This window comes from Homo sapiens, chromosome 3, assembly GCF_000001405.40.
Source record: "Homo sapiens chromosome 3, GRCh38.p14 Primary Assembly".
Lineage (NCBI taxonomy): Eukaryota > Metazoa > Chordata > Mammalia > Primates > Hominidae > Homo > Homo sapiens.
In genome coordinates, this window is record NC_000003.12 from 98,791,291 (window position 1) to 98,813,127 (window position 21,837).

General features: G+C 37.0%; 2 protein-coding genes and 1 pseudogene across 21 annotated transcripts in view; 1 reads left to right on the forward strand and 2 right to left on the reverse strand.

Annotated features, from left to right (window-relative positions):
• The window catches only part of ST3GAL6 (ST3 beta-galactoside alpha-2,3-sialyltransferase 6), a 63,591-nt gene extending 59,029 nt beyond the window's left edge, over positions 1 to 4,562 (forward strand). For all 18 annotated transcript variants that reach the window (NM_001323360.2, NM_001323352.2, NM_001323362.2 and 15 more), the window contains 2 exons: positions 551 to 703; positions 2,385 to 4,562. In NM_001323360.2, coding sequence (NP_001310289.1) covers positions 551 to 703; positions 2,385 to 2,471 — 240 coding nt within the window. In that variant the 3' untranslated portion in view covers positions 2,472 to 4,562. The remainder of the gene's footprint in view (positions 1 to 550; positions 704 to 2,384) is intronic.
• Positions 4,563 to 4,650: 88 nt separating this feature from the next.
• Positions 4,651 to 21,837, reverse strand: part of DCBLD2 (discoidin, CUB and LCCL domain containing 2) — a 105,755-nt gene continuing 88,568 nt past the window's right edge. For all 3 annotated transcript variants that reach the window (XM_011512419.3, NM_080927.4, XM_024453348.2), the window contains 7 exons: positions 21,042 to 21,192; positions 20,178 to 20,264; positions 19,904 to 20,029; positions 16,791 to 16,884; positions 10,310 to 10,359; positions 9,289 to 9,426; positions 4,651 to 8,551 (listed from right to left, as the gene is read on the reverse strand). In XM_011512419.3, the coding sequence (XP_011510721.1) occupies positions 8,082 to 8,551; positions 9,289 to 9,426; positions 10,310 to 10,359; positions 16,791 to 16,884; positions 19,904 to 20,029; positions 20,178 to 20,264; positions 21,042 to 21,192 (1,116 nt within the window). In that variant the 3' untranslated portion in view covers positions 4,651 to 8,081. The remainder of the gene's footprint in view (positions 8,552 to 9,288; positions 9,427 to 10,309; positions 10,360 to 16,790; positions 16,885 to 19,903; positions 20,030 to 20,177; positions 20,265 to 21,041; positions 21,193 to 21,837) is intronic.
• Positions 13,688 to 13,794, reverse strand: RNU6-26P (RNA, U6 small nuclear 26, pseudogene; annotated as a pseudogene).

Here is a 21,837-nt window from a genome sequence, read left to right on the forward strand (position 1 = left end):
TCTAGTCAGATACTGTTACAATTTATCATTGAAGTACTAGATTAGCCTTTCCCTAGAGTTAGTTTAAATGGTGAGTATAAAATATAGCTATTCGAAGGCGAATTTATATGAAGTCTTTTATCATGATTCCATCCGTTTGTGAATGAAGCTGTCCTTATATTTCATACACGTGTTCAAAATTCCCAGGCTTTGCTTTTGCCATAAGGAGCCTGACTCATCATGTTTTTGTGTTTTTTAAAACAATACAGCAACATTCTCTTCCTTAAGCCTCACAGTATTCTTTCATTGGATAGTTGTCCTCTGGGCTAATACCACAGCTATATTTTATTTTAAAGACTTCCTAAGATTTCAATCACAGTTTATATATTTTTTAGAGTTAAGGTATATATGCATACTCTTTGGGGCTTGAGCCTTATAATGAGAGTTTAGTTATTTCTCTCCTTATTAAATGTTTAGAAATCCCTGTTTTATATGATTCAGCCAACCAAATATGCTTTGGTAACAAGTAGCTCCTTTTGCTTAAAAAAGTTTTTTTCATCCCCTCCCCCAGAAACCTAAACACCCAACAACAGGAATTATTGCCATCACATTGGCGTTTTACATATGTCACGAAGTTCACCTAGCTGGTTTTAAATACAACTTTTCTGACCTCAAGAGTCCTTTGCACTACTATGGGAATGCCACCATGTCTTTGATGAATAAGGTAATATACTGTACTTTAGGTAATATACATATGCTTTGGACTAATCTTTGAGGGATGGAAAGCCCATATTTTCTCTTCTCACACTCATTTTACTGAGGGACCACGTTTTGAAGGGTTGAGGGCTTGATGGTGATTACAGGGCTACCAAGGGCTGTAACTAGAACTCATGTCCAGGATCATTTTACTACAGCATGAAATCCCAATTTATGGGCCTCATGGTTATTGCCAAGTGTCATCAAACCCATATAAGTACAGAACCTTACTTTAGATATTATATTTGCACTATTGAAATTCAGGCAACCTGCTGTGTTTGAGATATTACAAATTCACCTTGCATTGCTGTGCTTAATTATTCTCATTTGTTTTTAAGTAGACAAGATGGTGTAGAATATTTTAACCCTACAAGAGAATCTTCATGATCAAAAAGGTTACCAACTTTCATACTGGATCACACTTCTCTTGAATAGGGATTAATAGTGAGGATTTGTATTTTATTTTTTTTAACAATTTTAGTTTAAATTTTTTTTTTTTTTTTGAGAGTCTCACTCTGTCACCCAGGCTGGAGTGCACTGGCATGATCTCGGCTTACTGCAACCTGCACCCCGCAGGTTGAAGTGATTCTCCTGCTTCAGTCTCCCTAGTTTCTGGGATAACAGGCGCCCGCCACCACGACCGGCTAATTTTTTTTTTTTTTTTTTGTATTTTTGTAGAGATGAGTTTTTGCCATGTTGGCCAGGCTGGTCTCGAACTCCTGGCCTCATGTGATCTGCCCGCCTTAGCCTCCCAGAGTGCTGGGATTACAGGCATGGGCCACTGTGCCTGGCTAAGGATTTGTAATTTACTTGACTGGGAAGGAGTTTCCTAGTTTTGTAATTCTAACTTAAATTAGTAGTGCATCACAAGTGATGGGATTAAAATGTTATCTGTATACTTTTAATATTGAAATATTACTTGATAAAAAGTATATGGATATATCTCATGAAATCAGTCCCCTTGAATCACCCCACTATATAAGCTGAGAAAGTGGTATAAATCAGGTTAGATTTAGTATTGTCTTTTGTCCCTCACCCCCACCCTCTGTCCCCACCAGGTAAGACAAGCACTTAAGTATTTCAAGAATGAGGTACCCCAACAGACTTTGGATTAGGCTGATTTCTCCTCCGCCCTAAACTTTCCTGTAGCACTTGTGGTATTTCAAGTGTCATCTAAAGAGCAGAATATTAAAACAACTTCCTCAGGAAGAAAACTTGGATATTCATGTATAGAACAGTAATTTTTAACACATCTTAAACTGAACCAGGCATTATAATAGTTTATCTCCAGGCTGATTTTGTTTGTTTTTAAACTGATTTCTAGGGGCTTCTTCCATTAAAGTGAACAACTCAAAATTTTGGTCTCCAGATTTGTATTGTACCATGATTCGGTCTACCAGGGTTTGATATGAAGGAGTCTTACTTATGTGAGAGTTGAAATGGAAAGAGTGGGCTGTAGGGAAAGCTTTTGCACAAGAACCAGCAAGGAAAGTAATTTAAAAGGCTATCAAAAGTTAAAAGTACATGCAACTCGTTACTTAACATTCGAGTTCTTTATTCGGATTTTTTTAGATATAAAGTACTCCATTGGTGCTGCTAATACTTTGAGATTGGGAAAGAATGATGGTAATTGTATTTTTCTTCTTTAGAACGCGTATCACAATGTGACTGCAGAGCAGCTCTTTTTGAAGGACATTATAGAAAAAAACCTCGTAATCAACTTGACTCAAGATTGACTCTACAGACTCAGAAGATGATGCTAACAGTGTTAGTTTTATTTTTGTACTGCAATTTTTAGTTTAAAATATGTTGGATGCACTCGTCAAATAATTATGTATACTGTCTGTTGCTGCCTGGTGATTCATAACCACCAGCTTAATTTCTGTGAATACTGTATATTTAACTTATGAAAACCAAGAAATGTAAAGATAACAGGAAAATAAGTTTTGATTGCATTGTTTTTAAAATAAGCTAGTTTTCTGAGGTGTTTTCACACGTCTTTTTATAGTTACTTCATCTTAGATTTTTGAAGGGATATGACTTCCTACTAAGGATTTAGTTTACCACAACAATTCTGACTACAATAAGACATTTTGAGGAGGATATTTGGCTACTGTAAACATGGCTGGTGGAAAATCACGATTGTGGCTTGATGTGGCAAGCCGAAACCACTTGGCTCTGGAAATCTAAGTTCATACTGGTTTAATTAAGCTCTCTCCTGACAACCCCCAGAATTAAATGAACCATGATTGTGAAGAGTAATTTGGTACAATGAAGGCAGTGTTTGTTTTTAAGTTAAAGGAAATGGGCTAAACATAAAGTTCTTATTAGATAAGTAAATAACTAAAGAAAGAATACAATTACTAAACTCTGATGGCTTTGTATTATTTTAAAGAAATGAAGTTTAACTTTATACAGTGAAGCTAAGCTAGGCAAGCTCAAGAAGGAAAAAAAAATCTTGAACATTATTTTTTTTTGCCTGACTTACTTATTCATTAAATTTTGAAGGTTTTCCACTTGAAGTAAATTAGGAAAGGTAAAGAAGATAACAGAACAAGTAAACACTTAAGAAAAGTCAAGCTGAGGCCGGGCAGGGTGGCTCACACCTGTAATCCTAACAAACACTTTGGGAGGCCGAGGGAGGCAGCTGGATTGCCTGAACTCAGGAGTTCAAGACCAGCCTGGCCAACATGGTGAAACCTCATCTCTACTAAAATACAAAATAATTAGCTGGGCGTGGTGGTATGCGCTGTAGTCCCAGGTACTCGGGAGGCTGAGGCACGAGAATTGCTTGAGCCCGGGAGGCAGAGGTTGCAGTGAGCCAAGATCGCGCCACTGCACTTCAGCCTGGGTGACAGAGTGAGGCTGTCTTCTAAAAAATATAAAAAGTGAAGTTGGGATTTTTGGATTTAAATGGTACAAAAAGAATATCTCATTTTCCCATGATTAAAGCTAATCTTCAGATGGAAAGCTTGCCTGGCTACCTAGGGTGCACCAGAGAATCTGATCCAATGCAAGCCAGTCAATCCTACAAATGTGGTGAGCTAGTCTTCCTTCCTATATTTTAATAAATGTAACCAAAGGCCATCTGGAGGTAGGGGAATGAGAGGTGAAGAAACAGAAAAATAGAGGTTATAAGGATGGAACTAAAAGTTGTCAGAAGAGGTATGAGCTGAAGAAAGAATTACTCTCTTTTGACCAATAAATACAATTGGGAAACACTGGAAAACCATGGCTTGATTACTGACAACCAACCTGCCTCTCTAAAGAGGGTGTATAAAGGGTGAAATACATTAGATTTGGCTCAGAAACAGAATGCGGTACTTATAAAGCAGAATAAAGGGGAGAACAGTAGTAGTTGATCTAACCCAGATTAGACATGAATACCAGCATATGTTTGCAGAGTCCCACAGTTTTGATTCCTCTTATAACTTTTTGAGGTGCAAAAGGAAGGTACCAGAACTGGAATCACATGTAATCAATCAGTGTGATTTTCCCCTCATACCACACAGCCATAGGCTGCAGTGTGGCTGCTGAAGTTCAATTGATATAAAGTAAATCAGGCTTCAAAAAGAATGGTGCTGTGGGTACACAAGGACATAAAGATGGGAACGATAGACACTGAGGACTGCGGCGGGGGGAGCGAGGGGAGCGGGGAGGGCAAGGGCTGAAAGACTATGTATTGGGTACTATGCTCACAACCTGGATGATGGGATCATTCATACCACAAACCTCAGTATCACACAATATACCCATGTAACAACCTGCACTCTGCACATGTACCCTTAGAATCTAAAATAAAAGTTGAAATTATTTTTTTAAAAAAAGGATGGCGCTGGTCATAGAAAAAGTCAAAGTAAACTAACAGTGTCATTTTCAAATGTTGCTGGAAGCACAATATTGGCCATAAATTAGTGAGGTTAAAATAGAAGAATCTGGCATTTTATAGTATAAGGAAAAGCTACAAACCTCAAGGTTGTTTTATTTAAACCAAATAATCTGAGCAAGACATATATACATTAAAAACAAATGAACACATTAAAATTTCACTATTTTACAATCTAAATTCTAGCAACATATACAAATACTGAGTGACTACAGTACATGCCGAGGTAAGATAAGTACATTCTGGGAGAATATCACTGACGCTCAAACCATTTTTATTTCCAATATGTATTTCAATACATGTTTGTTTCCACTTTTCCCAGTGCCACACACACACACACAAAAACAAAACAAAACAAAAAAAAACAGTCACAAGTTGGATTACATTAGAATTGGTGCCACAGTTGACTTTAAAAGCATTTTAATAACCACCCAACTCTTAGATTTTGCAGTTTAGGGACTTCAAGTTCAGAACCAAAAAGCAGAGAATCGTTTCATGTGACATGATGTTTCTATAGACCTCTTGCTCTCTAGGTGACAATGCAGAGCCAGGGCAAAGGTGTTTAAGCTTTGTCACCTTCCACAGCTTTGTGGCCACATTCATATTTAGATAAGCTCGGACTCTGCTCCCCTCTTCTGGAGATGGGGAGAGGCAAGTGTGTATGTGTTGTCATACTTACTGCATTAATTCTTCACTCGAACCGTTTACATCAGCGAATAAACCCATTGTTCAATGCAAAGTGCAAACAGTGAAACATGAACTTAAATAAACTGGACTAGACCCATCACATCCAACAGGATCTATTTAGATTTACAGCATTTAATAAAGTATAAGTCAGAATTCACAATATCTTAAACTGTGCTGTTTCCTAAGATCAAGTAACAGCCAAGTCAGTGTAATTTTATGAAACCTGTAATGGCCACATTTGTTGTGTCTCCGATGTATTTCTATAATTGCATTAACAGGAAAAAACTTAATCCAATATACCAGTGACTTTGAGTCTTAAATGTTGCAAGCAAAGGATAAAAATTCAAGGGAATTTTGTCAGATATGGTTACTTTCACATTTTCAGTTGTTACTTGATTGTCTCCAAAGCCGTATATGTATCAGACATATAAATGTAGTAAAAAAAAAAAAAAAAAAAATAGAAAACCTCTACTATAAAAACCAATGAACTAAAAAGAAGTATAAAGCAGAAAAACCATTTGAATCAGGCTCAGCTCTTCATCTGGAAAGTAAAGTTTATATAAAAGTAGTAAAAACTAGATATTTTATAAAAATTATTGGTAGTTCAAGGATAGCACAGTGGCAATATGAATCGAGTCTTAAAATATGCATCATTTCAGAAAACACTTGCCCCTCTTAAAAAAAAAAAAACCCAAAACTAAACAACAACAACAAAAACCTCCAGGAAAAAACAATCAGGTATACACAATTAACACAAGAATAGCAAACTTCTTTGGGAAAATGAAATAGTTACCAAAAACATCTCTCTTAAAGCTTCAAACAGGTATATTACTTGAGGAAAAGTATATTCTCTGTGTACTAAGGATGAATTAAAAAATCAACTGGTTTGCTCTCTTCCCACCTGAAAAGGGATGACTGCATTAATATATGTGCTTTCCACATCCATATATGTTTTAATAAAAGTCTACCATCTATGTCTTTTGTTTCAAACATTTTGAAACAAAATATGTATTGATTCTTCAATGAATGAAATCACGCCTCAAAGTTTGGAGAAGGAAAAGCCAGTGAAAATAAGGCCAAAAAACCATACCACAAAAGGACAGGAAGCCTGCAGAAATAAACAGTTCTCTTTCTGAAGCGATGTTTTAGAATACTGATATAATTCATGGAAACAAGAAAACAAATACTGTTCATCTTTATTCAAATTGAGTGAATTCTGGCAACATCATAATCTGGTGGCTCAGGCCAACAGAAGTGACTAGAACTTTATGGAAAAGTACTGTTCAACATTAAATCTACAAACAAAGGTTTATGGAAGAGGGAATGTCAAATTTATGTATTTTTATCATATGGTGAGCTGCTCATGTCGTCTTGACAGTCTGAAGGCTTTAAAAGATGGTTTTACATTGTTAGCTAATAAATTACAGATGATTTCTATTTTGCCATGTCTAAAACTAGCTCTGGGCAGGTATGAACAAGTGGTGACATGGAAGCTGCCAGGAGGTATCAAAAACAAGGCATGAATATTCATTTGCTAGTAAGCTATAATGTCTGTTCCCTAGGTGACATATAGGACTACTCAAACCTCTTACCACACAAAGTGCACGATCACGCAGTCCTGAAAAATACACGTTAGGTTTATATTTTGTGTAACAGTTTATGGAAAACTGAAATGAAAAATTATTTTTTCTGACTAAAAATATAAAATACCTTGAGACTCAAGAAAAATGTATATGTTTGTGAATGTATAAAACCAAAAAGGACAAATTCTGGTTACTTTTTAAAGAGGTAATTTATATTACTTCTGAGTGAATAATTTTGCCTTTCACTGTGATAAATATAAGTGGGTCATGTTTACAGTATTCCCTTAGAAGCCTTCAACTTTTCATAACTCTCCTAGGAAAAATCCCATTGCAAATAAAGTTGGGGGTGGGAGAAGAATCTCCTTTAAAGCTTTCAAATCATAAAGTTGTTCCTGTTTACACATTGAGGAGCATACTTAAAGGACATGAAGGGATCTGAATTCATGAGACTAAGGCAAGCATCACTCATCAGAAATACTCAAACATTTTATAAACACAAGAATGGGGCAAGACACCAAAGGGCCTCAAGTGGAACACGCAAGGATGAGACCAGGCCATATACTGTGAAGCATTAAAGCTCTAAAGAGTGTCACAAAGTGAAAAAGCAATCCCCCTGCTCATTACAAGTCAGAAAATCCCAGCTACAGATCTTAAGATGGATAAGTGGATATGGCTGCAATAAAAACAATGCTTATATCACTAATTATTAAAAAAAATCCAGAAAAGAATATAGGAATAGAAGAGGAAATCATGATAGTACCCATCTTTCACAAACAGACTAGAATTTCAAGCCATTAGGTATTTCAAGAACAGTACCGTGCGTTATTGCCAGTCAGGCTTACAGAGCCATCTCGAGTTCATTAATGTACCTGCAGCATTGGTAATAAATACTCTGTGATTTTTAATTTCTCTGAAGTGCATTATAGGGAGCTTTTTCTGTATTAAAAATAGTGTTCTACAGTAGTATCAAACAGGACATTTGAAATTTAACAGGCGAGCAGTAACTGTGCCACCATAACACCTTAAAGCAAGATGGCAAGATTAGTAGTTTCCTGTACCTCAGTCACCACATTTTCCCCAACCACTTCAGTGACAGTTATGTAATACATTCTATATATTACTACCACTAATAATTAAAAAAAAAAGGCCATGTGCTTTAAAACGATGCTTTGTAAAAAGCAGCATCATCTTCAAAGGATTTCTTTAAAAACATCACATTCCCCATCCCTTCCTGCTCCTGATACTTCTTGTGTGCTCTGTGGCACCTGGTACACCAATTCGTCTGGGGCAGGTAGACCTGGCTTCCCAGCTTTCGGGGTATCATACTGGGCCTGGGCTGAGGAGCAGCTGTCAGTCCTGGAGAGAAGTGTATTGTAAGTTCCCACTAGTGGGGGAGGTTGGTTCCCCGTAGCCTTGAAAGTGGATGTGGAGGGCTGACCAACTGAAGTTGTGGGGTGCCCTGACATGTCCATGATGATTGGGGTTGCATACTCAGGCCCCGTAATTGGGAGTGGTTCAGCATAGGCATGATAAACTTCCTGCCCTGGTGAGTTGTAAGGATCTAGGTCTGCATAGCCTGCTTCTTTTCCTTCTTCTGGTTTAAAGGTAGATCTTTGATGAAGTGTACCAACAATTCCTCCTACCAGTGGCTGAGCATACTCTGTGGATATCACAAAACAACAGAAAAGTCATTTTACTAGTAAAGAGATTGCATAATTTAGGGTGGCAGCTGCAGATTATACTAAAAGCAAACATTCTTTAGGATACTTTTGTTGCCATCAATACTTAATCTGTAAGAACTTTGAAAATTAAAATTAAACATACTGTCTAGTACTTCTCATAGTAATAATATACCAGAAAGTCTCATTCATGTAATTTTGCATATAGAATTTTCACATATGTTCTTTAGATTTACAGACAACATATTTCTTTACTGAATATTTCCTTTCTGAATTATTTTCAGAATATTTCATTGGAAAAGAAACATTCAGTTACTGGAATAAATATTAATCTTGAAAAATAATTTCAGAGATTTTTTTCAAATATTAGGAAATGTTTAAAATAAGTATGTACTAGGCTAAGAGGATAAACACTGTAAGGCTTCTTCTGTCTTTCCCGCTCTCCTCTCAACATCTCGGGTCTCCCCACAAGCCTCAGTTAACATACATAATGCCCAGAGTCTTTAGAAATCAATGTCCCAACTTTACAGACAGAATATCCAAGATACAGAAATGACTCTCTGAAGAGTCACCTTTTAAAAAAGTGGTTCTACCTTTAGGAAACAATTCATTTCTTAAACATGAAAGGGATCAAAGAACTGTAAATCCCAAAGCACTTTATAGCAAGCCTAAGCAGTTTCTCCCTCTGCCTGGTACCAGAAGGCTGCAACATAGTTACCTGCAGAGTCAGCCTGCAGCACTGTGGTGACTTCTCTTGGACTCAGGTGATTAACTTCGCTGCTGCTATAGCGAACTGGGGTTTCCTCATGGTCCACTGCTTTTGCAGGAAGAAACTGCTTCATTCCTTTCCACCAACCTTCATTGTGACGGCAAGCCAAAGAGACCATTAAATAAAAACCTGTATCTCAAACAGTAGTATCAAGAGAAAAATCCTGTTGCATTTAAGCCATTTCTATAACAAATATCTCTACAAACTTGCCTTTATAATCCAACTTTTTTTTTTTTTTTTGCTGTGATAGACTATCCAGCACCAAGCAGTACATGGTAGAAATCTCTATCAAACACATGCAGGCAAATCACTGTTAGTATAGTACAGCCAGATACAGTATCTATTTTAGGGGTGGCCTTAATTACATTTTTCCCAAAAAATATTTTCCAAGATCTACCCTGGGGCACTAGCTGCCCTTTTCTATCCTAGCCACAGCAGTGAACTCTCCTGGCTCCTAAGAGCTGATCCAGTAGTGAGACTGGGAAGTGAGAAACTGGTAGGGGGGCCCCTTTGGTGTCACTTGCAGCAATTCAGAAGATGACAACTCATCATGGGAGACCTCCCGATTCCTAAACTGCTGGACTCCACTTGGTGAATAACCATGGCAGAGGACAAACACACACTGTGTCCTGGAGACCACAGTCTTTTGTTTCTTACTCAGTGTTCACGTGGGCCACAGAAAGCCGGTCTCCTCATGAGAAACAGATACACAGGACAAACTACACAAGTTTTCCAGAAGAAAAAGAACAGAGCTTGTTTTAAGAAATTTGTACTTTTCATTTCATTACTTAGGAATTACAAGAGACTTTGCAGAAGGGTAAAAATGGTGAGAACTGAAGAGTAATGCCATTGTTCTAACAGTGTCGGGGAGTTCACCTGGGCCAGAGAATGACTCTTTTTTCACTACTGCCCCCTGTAGGGGAGCGACATCCCTCTGATAGAAATGAGATGCAAAGACCACGTGAGTTACCTGCCCGGTCCCAGTAAGGTAAGTCATAGGTGCCTTCAGTTTTTTTCTTTCTGGAAAAATACAGAAGAGAAGTTAGCAAACAGAGTAAATTCACTGGTAAGCCTGCTCCCCCTACCCCATGACAGGCCTTGGTATGTGATATTCCCCTTCCTGTGTCCAAGTGTTCTCATTGTTCAATTCCCACCTATGAGTGAGAACATGCGGTGTTTGGTTTTTTGTCCTTGGGACAGTTTGCTGAGAATGATGGTTTCCAGCTTCATCCATGTCACTACAAAGGACAGGAACTCATCATTTTTTATGGCTGCATAGTATTCCATGGTGTATATGTGCCACATTTTCTTAATTCAATCTATCATTCATGGACATTTGGGTTGGTTCCAAGTCTTTGCTATTTTGAATAGTGCTGCAATGAACATACGTGTGCATGTGTCTCTATAGCAGCATGATTTATAATCCTTTGGGTATATACCCAGTAATGGGATGGCTGGGTCAAATGGTATTTCTAGTTCTAGATCCCTGAGGAATCACCACACTGTCTTCCACAATGGTTGAACTAGGTTACAGTCCTACCAACAGTGTAAAAATGTTCCTATTTCTCCACATCCTCTCCAGCACCTGTTGTTTCCTGACTTTTTAATGATCACCATTCTAACTGGTGTGAGATGGTATCTCATTGTGGTTTTGATTTGCATTTCTCTGATGGCCAGTGATGATGAGCATTTTTTCATGTGTTTGTTGGCTGCATAAATGTCTTCTTTTGAGAAGTGTCTGTTCATATCTTTCGCCCACTTGTTGATGGGGTTGTTTTTTTTTCTTGTAAATTTGTTTGAGTTCTTTGTAGATTCTGGATATTAGCCCTTTGTCAGATGAGTAGATTGCAAAAATTTTCTCCCATTCTGTAGGTTGCCTGCTCACTTTGATGGTAGTTTCTTTTGCTGTGCAGAAGCTGTTTAGTTTAATTAGATCCCATTTGTCAATTCTGGCTTTTGTTGCCATTGTTTTTGGTGTTTTAGACATGAAGTCCATGTCTGTGTCCTGAATGGTATTGCCTAGGTTTTCTTCTAGGGTTTTTATGGTTTTAGGTCTAACATTTAAGTCTTTAATCCATCTTGAATTAATTTTTGTATAAGGTGTAAGGAAGGGATCCAGTTTCAGCTTTCTACATATGGCTAGCCAGTTTTCCCAGCACCATTTATTAAATAGGGAATCCTTTCCCCAGTTCTTGTTTTTGTCAGGTTTGTCAAAGATCAGATGGTTGTAGATGTGTGGTATTATTTCTGAGGGCTCTGTTCTGTTCCATTGGTCTATATCTCTGTTTTGGTCCCAGTATCATGCTGTTTTGGTTACTGTAGCCTTGTAGTATAGTTTGAAGTCAGGTAACGTGATGCCTCCAGCTTTGTTCTTTTGGCTTAGGATTGTCTTGGCAATGTGGGCTCTTTTTTGGTTCTATATGAACTTTAAAGTAGTTTTTTCCAATTTTGTGAAGAAAGTCATTGGTAGCTTGATGGGGATGGCATTGATCTATAAATTACCTTGGGCAGTATGGCCATTTTCACGATATTGATTCTTCCTATCCATGAGCATGGAATGTTCTTCCATTTGTTTGCGTCCTCTTTTATTTCATTGAGCAGTGGTTTGTAGTTCTCTTTGAAGAGGTCCTTCACATCCCTTGTAAGTTGGATTCCTAGGTATTTTATTCTCTTTGAAGCAATTGTGAATGGGAGTTCACTCATGATTTGGCTCTCTGTCTGTTATTGGTGTATAAGAATGCTTGTGATTTTTGTACATTGATTTTGTATCCTGAGACTTTGCTGAAGTTGCTTATCAGCTTAAGAAGATTTTGGGCTGAGATGATGGGGTTTTCTAAATATACAATCATGTCATCTGCAAACAGGGAAAATTTGACTTCCTCTTTTCCTAATTGAATACCCTTTATTTCTTTCTCTTGCCTGACTGCCCTGGCCAGAACTTCCAACACTATATTGAATAGGAGTGGTGAGAGAGGGCATCCCTGTCTTGTGCCAGTTTTCAAAGGCAATGCTTCCAGTTTTTGCCCATTCAGTATGATATTGGCTGTGGGTTTGTCATACATAGCTCTTATTATTTTGGGATACGTCCCATCAATACCTAATTTATTGAGAGTTTTTAGCATGAAGGGTTGTTGAATTTTGTCAAAGGCCTTTTCTGCATTTATTGAGATAATCATGTAGTGTTTGTCTTTGGTTCTGTTTATATGCTGGATTACGTTTATTGATTTGCATATGTTGAACCAGCCTGGCATCCCAGGGATGAAGCCCACTTGATCACAGTGGATAAGCTTTTTGACGTGCTGCTGGATTCGGTTTGCCAGTATTTTACTGAGGATTTTTGCATCGATTTTCATCAGGGATATTGGTCTAAAATTCTCTTTTTTTTGTTGTGTCTCTGCCAGGCTTTGGTATCAGGATGATGCTGGCCTCATAAAATGAGTTAGGGAGGATTCCCTCTTTTTCTATTGATTGGAATACTTTCAGAAAGAATGGTACCAGCTCCTCCTTGTACCTCTGGTAGAATTCGGCTATGAATCCGTCTGGTCCTGGACTTTTTTTGGTTGGTAGGCTATTAATTATTGCCTCAATTTCAGAGCCTGTTATTGGTCTATTCAGGGATTCAACTTCTTCCTGGTTTAGTCTTGGGAGGGTGTATGTGTCCAGGAATTTATCCATTTCTTCTAGATTTTCTAGTTTATTTGCATAGAGGTGTTTGTAGTATTCTCTGATGGTAGTTTGTATTTCTGTGGGATCGGTGGTGATATCCCCTTTATCATTTTTTATTGCATCTATTTGATTCTTCTCTCTTTTCTTCTTTATTAGTCTTGCTAGCAGTCTATCAATTTTGTTGATCTTTTCAAAAAACCAGCTCCTGGATTCACTGATTTTTTGAAGGGTTTTTTGTCTCTATCTCCTTCAGTTCTGCTCTGATCTTAGTTATTTCTTGACTTCTGCAGCTTTTCAATGTGTTTGCTCTTGCTTCTCTAGTTCTTTTAATTGTGATGTTAGGGTGTCAATTTTAGAACTTTCCTGCTTTCTCTTGTGGGCATTTAGTGCTATAAATTTCCCTCTACACACTGCTTTGAATGTGTCCCAGAGATTCTGGTATGTTGTGTCTTTGCTCTCATTGGTTTCAAAGAAAATCTTTATTTCTGCCTTCATTTCATTATGTACCCAGTAGTCATTCAGGAGCAGGTTGTTCAGTTTCCATGTAGTTGAGTGGTTTTGAGTGAGTTTCTTAATCCTGAGTTCTTGTTTGATTGAACTGTGGTCTGAGAGACAGTTTGTTATAATTTCTTTTCTGTTACATTTGCTGATGAGTGCTTTACTTTCAACTATGTGGTCAATTAAAAATATGGAACGCTTCATGAATTTGCGTGTCATCCTTGCACAGGGGCCATGCTAATCTTCTCTGTGTCGTTCCAATGTTAGTATATGTGCTGCCGAAGTGAGCACCACAAATGTGGTTTTCATAAAAAGCCCAAGCCATGTGCTTTTCCTACTGGGAAACATTCTCCAGTATAAGACTATATTTTTGATACTAAATGCATCCTCATTTTAAAGCGTAGGTATACTTATTTCATTATTTCAAAGTACAGCATAATAAAAAATTTGTGGAAAAGATAATGAGTGTTGAAGATGTTAATGAAACACTTGAATGGAAAAGAAATAAAAAAAAATACTGATTAAACACCTTTCTCCCTGAAAATGCTCTAATCATCACATGATTTAGAAATAAAAAAATAAATAAATCATCTTTTCTAAATAGAAGTTAGATGCCCTATATTGCTAGGACAACAAATTTATGGCATCAATATTAGCCATAGGTTGTACTATAAAGGATTTTATACACATAAGTGACAAAGCTTCTGGTTACTTATTCATTACGTATAAAGTGCTTAGAATGAGCTCTGGATTCAATAAGCTGCAGCTGTTTTTATTATCATTCTCATCCTCCCTATTTTCCACAGCATATTAATGGTATCTGCTCCTTTACTCCTTGTCATAAAGCCACACTCATCAGTGATTTCAACTACGTTCCTAACAGTAACTTCAATTCTCCAGCTCAGATCGTGTCCTTAACGCCAGGTGTGTGGTCGAATTGCCTCAGGAGTCTGGATGTCCACAGGGTCCTTTCAACACCATCCCAAACTGACCTCAGGCTCTGTCTGACTTCTGCCCTCTCAACAGCGGCACTCCTCAGTCCTCCCCCTCACACCCTGTGCTTTAATAACAGTGAGTTATACTTTATTTATTATGTGTTCAGAGCAGCAGTGGGTAAGAGCACGATCTCTCAAGTCTGGTCCAAAACTCCCCTCTGCCCATGTACTAGGCAATAACTAGGCAGGTTATTTATGCCCATAAACTAGGCAAGTTATTTGCCCATAACTAGGCAAGTTATTTATGTTGTGTCTCATTTTCTCCTTCTGTAAAACGGGGCTTATTATAGTGCCTGCTTCGTAGATTGTTTTGAGGATTAAATTAATTAATTCAGGTATTTAGAATAATTTGCGTAGAGGTGCATGTTGTCAAGACTGGGCATGTGGTGGTAACTGCAGAAGCTTTTGCAGATACACAAAAGCTTGTTACACTATGCATTCCATCTGTGTAGAGATGTGAAACTTTCCTAAATTTTTAAATCACTAAAATAAAATTGAAAATAGAAAATACAGGTATTTGGAATAATTATGTAGAATAGTGACTAAGATTAGCATTCAATTTTCTATAAAAATTAGCTTCTGCTGCTGCGGGCCTCATCACTACTATCACTGTTGTTGCTAAGTTCCTTAAATGCATCATACTCTCTCCTCTTTGGAATTTCCTAAAGTCCTTTCCTTTCCCTATTGTTCTCATACTAATTTGCTGTGTCTCTGCTTAGACAGCCTGTTCATGAAGCTGGGATCCACTAGCTTCCTCCCATGGCATATATTCTATGGCTGGTGTTACAGCTGGGAGTTTTTTTTGCATTGCATCCGTTCCTAATCTGTAAGCTTTGGGGTTCATCACTGGAATCCCCAGCACATGGCTCAATACTTGACATAGGGTAACAGCCAAATATTCAAATACTTGTTGCATGGCTGAACAAATGAAGTCATTTTCATTCTCCACCAAACCTGTCCTTCCTGCTGTGTTATCTCAACTCATGACACCTCTACTGGTCTAACTGCACAAGCCAGAAACCTCAGATTCCTCCTGTATCACTTCTTCCTTACTAGACAACTAGTCATACATCCTGTCAATGCTACTGGGAAACATCTCCACTCCATCTCTTCTCCCTTTCCTAGAATCAGTGTGTTATGTGCCTGCCTGGCCTCAGTGGTTTCCTAACTCATCTTGCTAAGTCTCTCAGCCTCTCTCCTCTTCAATCTACCCTTCAAAACTGCCACCATCTTTGTACAATCATCTGACAATATCACCTCTTTGCTTGACACTCAAGTGACTTTCCATCTATAGAATGAAATCTAAATTTCTCTCTTCCAGAAAAGCCTTTCCTGATCCAGGCCCAGACTGAACCTCTATGGTTATTTCTCAGGACTCTCCCACGCCAAGCGTACATGCGATGACTCACTATTTTGCCTACATTCCATATCTCTGTGCCTTCACTCAAACAATTGGCTCAGGTTGGGCCATTTGCTAGTGCTATGGTCTGAATATTTGCATCTCTCCAAAATTCATATGTTGAAATCCTAACCCCCGTTAGAAAGTGGGGCTTTGGTAAGTGATTAGGTCATGAAGGCAGAGTCCTCATGAATGGGATTGGTGCCCTTACAGGAAAGGCCTGAGAGAGCGTGTTTATCCCTTCCACCATGAGAGGATCGGGCAAGAAGGCACTGTTGATGAATGAGCCAGACGGCAGGCCCTCACTAGTCATAGTATCTGCAGTGTTTTGATCTTGGACTTCTCAGCCTCCAGAACTGTGAGAAATCAATTCTATTATTTATGTCACCCAGGTTATGGTATTTTCTTACAGCATCCCAAACAAAGACATCTACCTTCCTCTATCTAGCCAACTACAATTCCTTTAAGGCAAAGCAAGCCAAACTTGAGGAGTCCCCTTTCCCGAAGAAAAAACTTCAGTTAATTCTCATGGTTCATAACTCATCAAACCACATGATATAGTTCCTTGTTAGTCAACCCTGCTAAACACTTCAGAGAAAGGAATTGTGTCTCATTCTTTAAGTAAATGTAACTATCATGTGTCAGAAATTGTTCATATTAATGTACATATCCCAGTGTATAATGCAGAACTTGATACAAAAAAGGTACTTAGTAACTGATTGTGGAATTGAACTTATTTATTTTTAATGGGAATAAAGGAGAAGCATGAAATTTTCATTTTAATAATTACCTTAACTCTCACTCTCAAACAGGTAAACATTTTCATCTTCTATATTTAGCTTCTACTTCACATTTGGTAGTTTTGGACTCAGGTGAACTAGTTATGTACTAACCTGTTTCTCCAGTGCCAAGCACACACTAATATGAGAATGAGAGTAGTGAGGACCATGACCAGCACAGGGACAAGAACTGCAGCCAGCGCTACATCTGAAGTTACAAAGACAAAAACAGACAAACAAAAGCCATATTAACACCAAAGGCAGAAATCACTAGGGAAAATTAACCACATCATCTTTCAACATTTTTCTACCTCACGGAAATACCATAAACATTATTTGTCAAGACTGGGCATGTGGTGGTAACTGTAGAAGCTTTTGCAGATACACAAAAGCTTGTTACACTATTCATTCCATCTGTGTAGAGATGTGAAATTTTCCTAAATTTTTAAATCACTAAAATAAAATTGAAAGACAAATGAAAAATTGGGAAAATATATTTTCTACATATGAGAAGAGTTACTTTAAATAATTATTATATTGTAGGGCATTACAAGCCAAATCCAAACATTTAAGAGAAAAATCAGCAGAGATTAACTAGTAATACATTAAAAAATACAAGTAACCATTAAATATGTTAACTTCACTAGTAATCAAAGAAATACAAGTTAAACAACCAACACAAAAAAAGTTAAAACAACAAAATACTACTTTTGCTAATCAAAGTGGCAAATATTTAAAACAACAACTAATTGATGAACAGGCTACCAGGAAACAGTTATTTTTTAATGGAAATATAAACTGATGCTATCTCACTGATTGGCATTTTTGGGCAATATGTACAAAAATCTATTGGCAATTCCATTCCTAGAATTTATTCTCAGAAACTAAAAAAAGATGCATCCTTAAAGATGTTCTCCCTGTTTCTGCGTAAGAGTGAAAAATTGGAAATAATCCAAATGCCCAAAAATGAGAGGGAATAAATCATGGTATCCTCCTTACAAGAGAAAATAATCCAGCAATTGAAATGACGTTACATCATAATGGCAAAACATTCATATATATATATATGGGAAGGTAACAATGTGGTGTTAAGAAAGTCAATTGGAAATGTGTGTGTGACCAGGTCAGAAGCCAGCATAATGCTGGAACTGGGAGAGATTTAGGGATCATTTAATCCCCTAATTTCACTCCAGAGATAAGGAATTCTGGGCCCAGATATAGAAAATGATCTGCCTAAGGTCACTTGGGATATTAGTTTCTTCCTTTGTCGCTCAACCCCCTACTTGCCATGAAGATGATAATAGCAGCACCTGCTGATATTTACTGGGGGCTCAGAGCCGGACACTGCAATGAGTCTAACCTGCACCATCTTCTTTATTCCTTAAAACAACTGTATCCAAAAGAGAGAAAGAGGCTGAAGATACAGGAGGGGGAGAGGATAATCAGTAAGATTGGGTCCCTGAGAGGTAGATCGAGGGGAACCAGGGCACAGGTGATATAATCAGCCTTGGGCAACATAAGGAAGCCCCCTTTTCACTGCAGTGAACAGAGGATACAGATAGGTTTGTAGGCTCCACAAAAAGGGAGTTTCACTGGAAGGAAACTCCCTACTTTCTCTGTGAAGTTGGAGCGGTAACTGAGAGTGGGTGAAGATATCTGGGTGAAGGGCTTGAAAATAAGGGGAATATGTAAAATAGCTACAGTTGAGAACAGACAGAAGAGCTACTGCAGCCTTTCAGAAGGTCAGCCAGCTGGTGCCACGGGCCCCACTGAGGGAGGACCTGGAAACTACAGAGGCACAAATCTGACCATGACATAATCTTTTCCATGAAATCACTCTCAGCCTGGCTGTAAAAATGGAGAAGTCCATAAACAGAAATAATGACTTAGACTAGAAAGCACTCAGAATTCACAACGGTAAATGTGCTTTTTCCATAAGATTAGTGAGACAAGAGAAGATAATCAAGTTTAGATGGATGCTGTGTGATTTAATCAGAGGCTTTAAAACATCTTCTTAGGTTCAAAAAATAAATTTATATACTACCATCCCCCTAAAAAAGAGACAGGAGGTCTCTGAGAAGACCAACTCATTCTTTGTTATTCTTTTTGGGCATACAGGGATCCTAATTCTGGAAGGAAATTATTTAAGGACTCTTTTTAGCCTTGAGGGTCTGAGATGCAATCAGATTTTAAGATGAGCAACACTTTTCAGTGACTGATCTCCATCCAGGCATGTGGTCTGGGATTCTGCCTTAGTACATGCCTTCTGACAACTGGTAAGCAGTTAAAAGATGCTGAGATCTCCTGCCTCTGAGAACCCTTGATTCTCTCTAGCTGTACCTGCAGCATGAGAAAGTAATTCATCTTTGTGAAAATACTTCAGAAGATGGGAAAGAACCAACATGGGGAAAGTCAGAGAAAGTTATCTGAATCCAGGCAAACTTTCAAAAAATGAGAATGACTGAAGTTCTATGTGGCACAAATTACTTTGGATGAACGGCTTTCTCTCTCTGCACTTTCCTGAAAACAAGGAAGCTTTTTATGTGACAACTCTGATACTTAGTCTACTATGACACTGACACTTTTTTGAATTCAATTGAAATTTTGTTTTTCAACAACTAGTAAGACTACTATGTTTTATGTATTTTGAGACCTTATTTATCACTGATAACAAAACTTGAAAGTAAATTCTAATAAATTTCTATTTATGATCTTAAAAAATATAATTGCAAACACTTAAAAAGAGACCAAAGTTTTTTTTTATGAATATGTTAACTATGAGTATTTTTTAACAATTACTAGTTTCTACTAAAAGTTCTGTTTTTATTTTCCCCTTTTTGCCATCAAGTTCCCTATCCATCAAATTAATATATTATCAAGGGAAACAAGTTTGTTTCCTGCTATGATTTCAGTTATTTCTAGAAAATATTGTATTTCTAAGCCTGAGAGTCAACATGTTTAGCTGTAAGGAACAATAAATCACAAGAGGAGGCCTGCAACACAGTGGCCTTCTCTAAATATTTAAAGAGCAATTCTACATGGCAGCAGAGACTACAACTTAGATCAATGCAGTCTTTTCCTATGAAAGAAAATAAATTTTTTTTTTTGCTATACTTAAAAACTATAGTTGGAAGAAAATAAACTGAAGGTTTAAAAATGCCCGTGAAAACTTCAGTTAAGAACAAAACAATACTATGTACTAGGCGTTCATTTCCATGTTTGCATACCTTTGGTTACATTTGGAGTTACGGTAGTATTTCTGATATCAGGACTGGCAGTTGTTTGTTCTGTCTGTGCAGGAAATTCATTGCTACTGCGAGGTTGTAGTGGTTGCGTAAATTTTGGGGCACGACCTTTAAAAAAGTTTCAAAAGCTCTTTACTTTTTAATCTGTACCAACTTGATTAACATAAACTTATTTGATAATGCTTTTAATATATTTTTGGAAAGTTGCACCATAAATCCAAGGAATATCAAATTCTCACATTAAAAACAGGCATACCTTTGGCTATTTTTGGAGGGGCTGTAGTGTTTTTGAGGTCATTGCTGTTCCGAGGAGGTGGAGGTTGAGTAAGTTTTGGAGGACGACCTTGAAAAATGGTTTAGAAAAATTTAAACATTTTGTTTTTAAAAATCATAATTAAAAATAGTAATGCTAAATGTCTTCAATATTTCCTAAAGTATTTAATTCTGCAGAATAATTTTAACTCTCAGAGAGAAATATATTGGAAGGATAAATATTATACTCTGCAATAAAGGCACAAATATGCCAGGATTTCTCAGTTTTTAAATAATTAAATCATCTGAAAATAATCTTAGGAAGAAGAATAATGGGGTGGAAAGTGATGTTGAATGCTAAAGCTATAAAGGAGTCATCCACATTTTGATACAGTACTTATTCAATTCATTTAATAGTTATTTATGGAGGGCCAACGATGTGTCAGGCACTGTGGTAGCCTTTGGGCGTACAAAAGTAAACAGTATATTAAAATGTATAATATTGAGATAAATTATTCTTGCTTTAAATGTATTGTTACAATCTTTCATGCTTATGTTAAACAAATATTACAGTACATGACACCTGATTTAAAATTATTAGGATTGAGATTAAATTTGGAAAGTGATCTCATTTACATTATCTTATGAATGATGCTATTTCTTCTTCCACTTATAATTTTGGAAACCATTCTTATAACTAACTTTTTAATAGGGTAACCATTTTTTTTAACATCCCTTTAAGAAGATATTGTAATTAGAGTTTAACCAGAAAGACACTCACATTATTAATTACTCTCTCTGAGAACAGCAAAACCATTTTAAATTGGCAATCCAGTAAAAACATATCTTAAACGAACTGTCTCTTTACCTTTAGGAATAAACTGACATCCGAGCAGCTCCATTTTCATGGCAATTTTCTGCTGCCATTGGGTAGGATTCACTCTAATAAAACGTGCAATAATTGGTGGCAAAAAGTTATTACGCACATCCTGGTGATAATCTTTGTTTCCTTGAAATATCTTTAAAAAAACAACAAAAAATTGGTACTTCAAATCAATAGAGGTCAGGGCTAAATTTCTCCACTTAAACATGTTTTTGTTCTTTGCTCTAGGCCTTAAATTACATCTGGAAAGTATGATAATAAGGATCAATTTTTAAGAAAATAATCATAATTTGGAAAAATATTAAGATGCTGCACATTTTTATCAAAAGTTTATGAAACAAAAATATTTAATATAGAAATGATTTTAAGATGATTTAAGAACTTAACAAGAGGGCTAACTTGGCATTTGGGTAAAAGGTTTCAAATCCAGTGAGACAATTTATCCTATTAGTAAATCAGTAACTCTAGTCCTGTGGAATTACCAACTATTTAAATATATTAATTTTTATTTTTAAAGTAAAACAAAATTGATCATGCCAAGTCTTAGGGGAAATATTTTGCTTGTGTACTTTTCATAATTTTTCTCTCAACAGGCTGAAGGTGAACATATACTAACAAACATATAACAGATATATACCTCCACCTACTGGATAAACTGCATAAAGACAGTTCTCCTATTATCCCGGTTTTTGTTCCATGCTGCTATTTAAACTAGAAGTGACTTTGAAATGCTATTTTATGCTTAAATTATTAATTATTTTTAGAGATAGAGTCTTGCTCT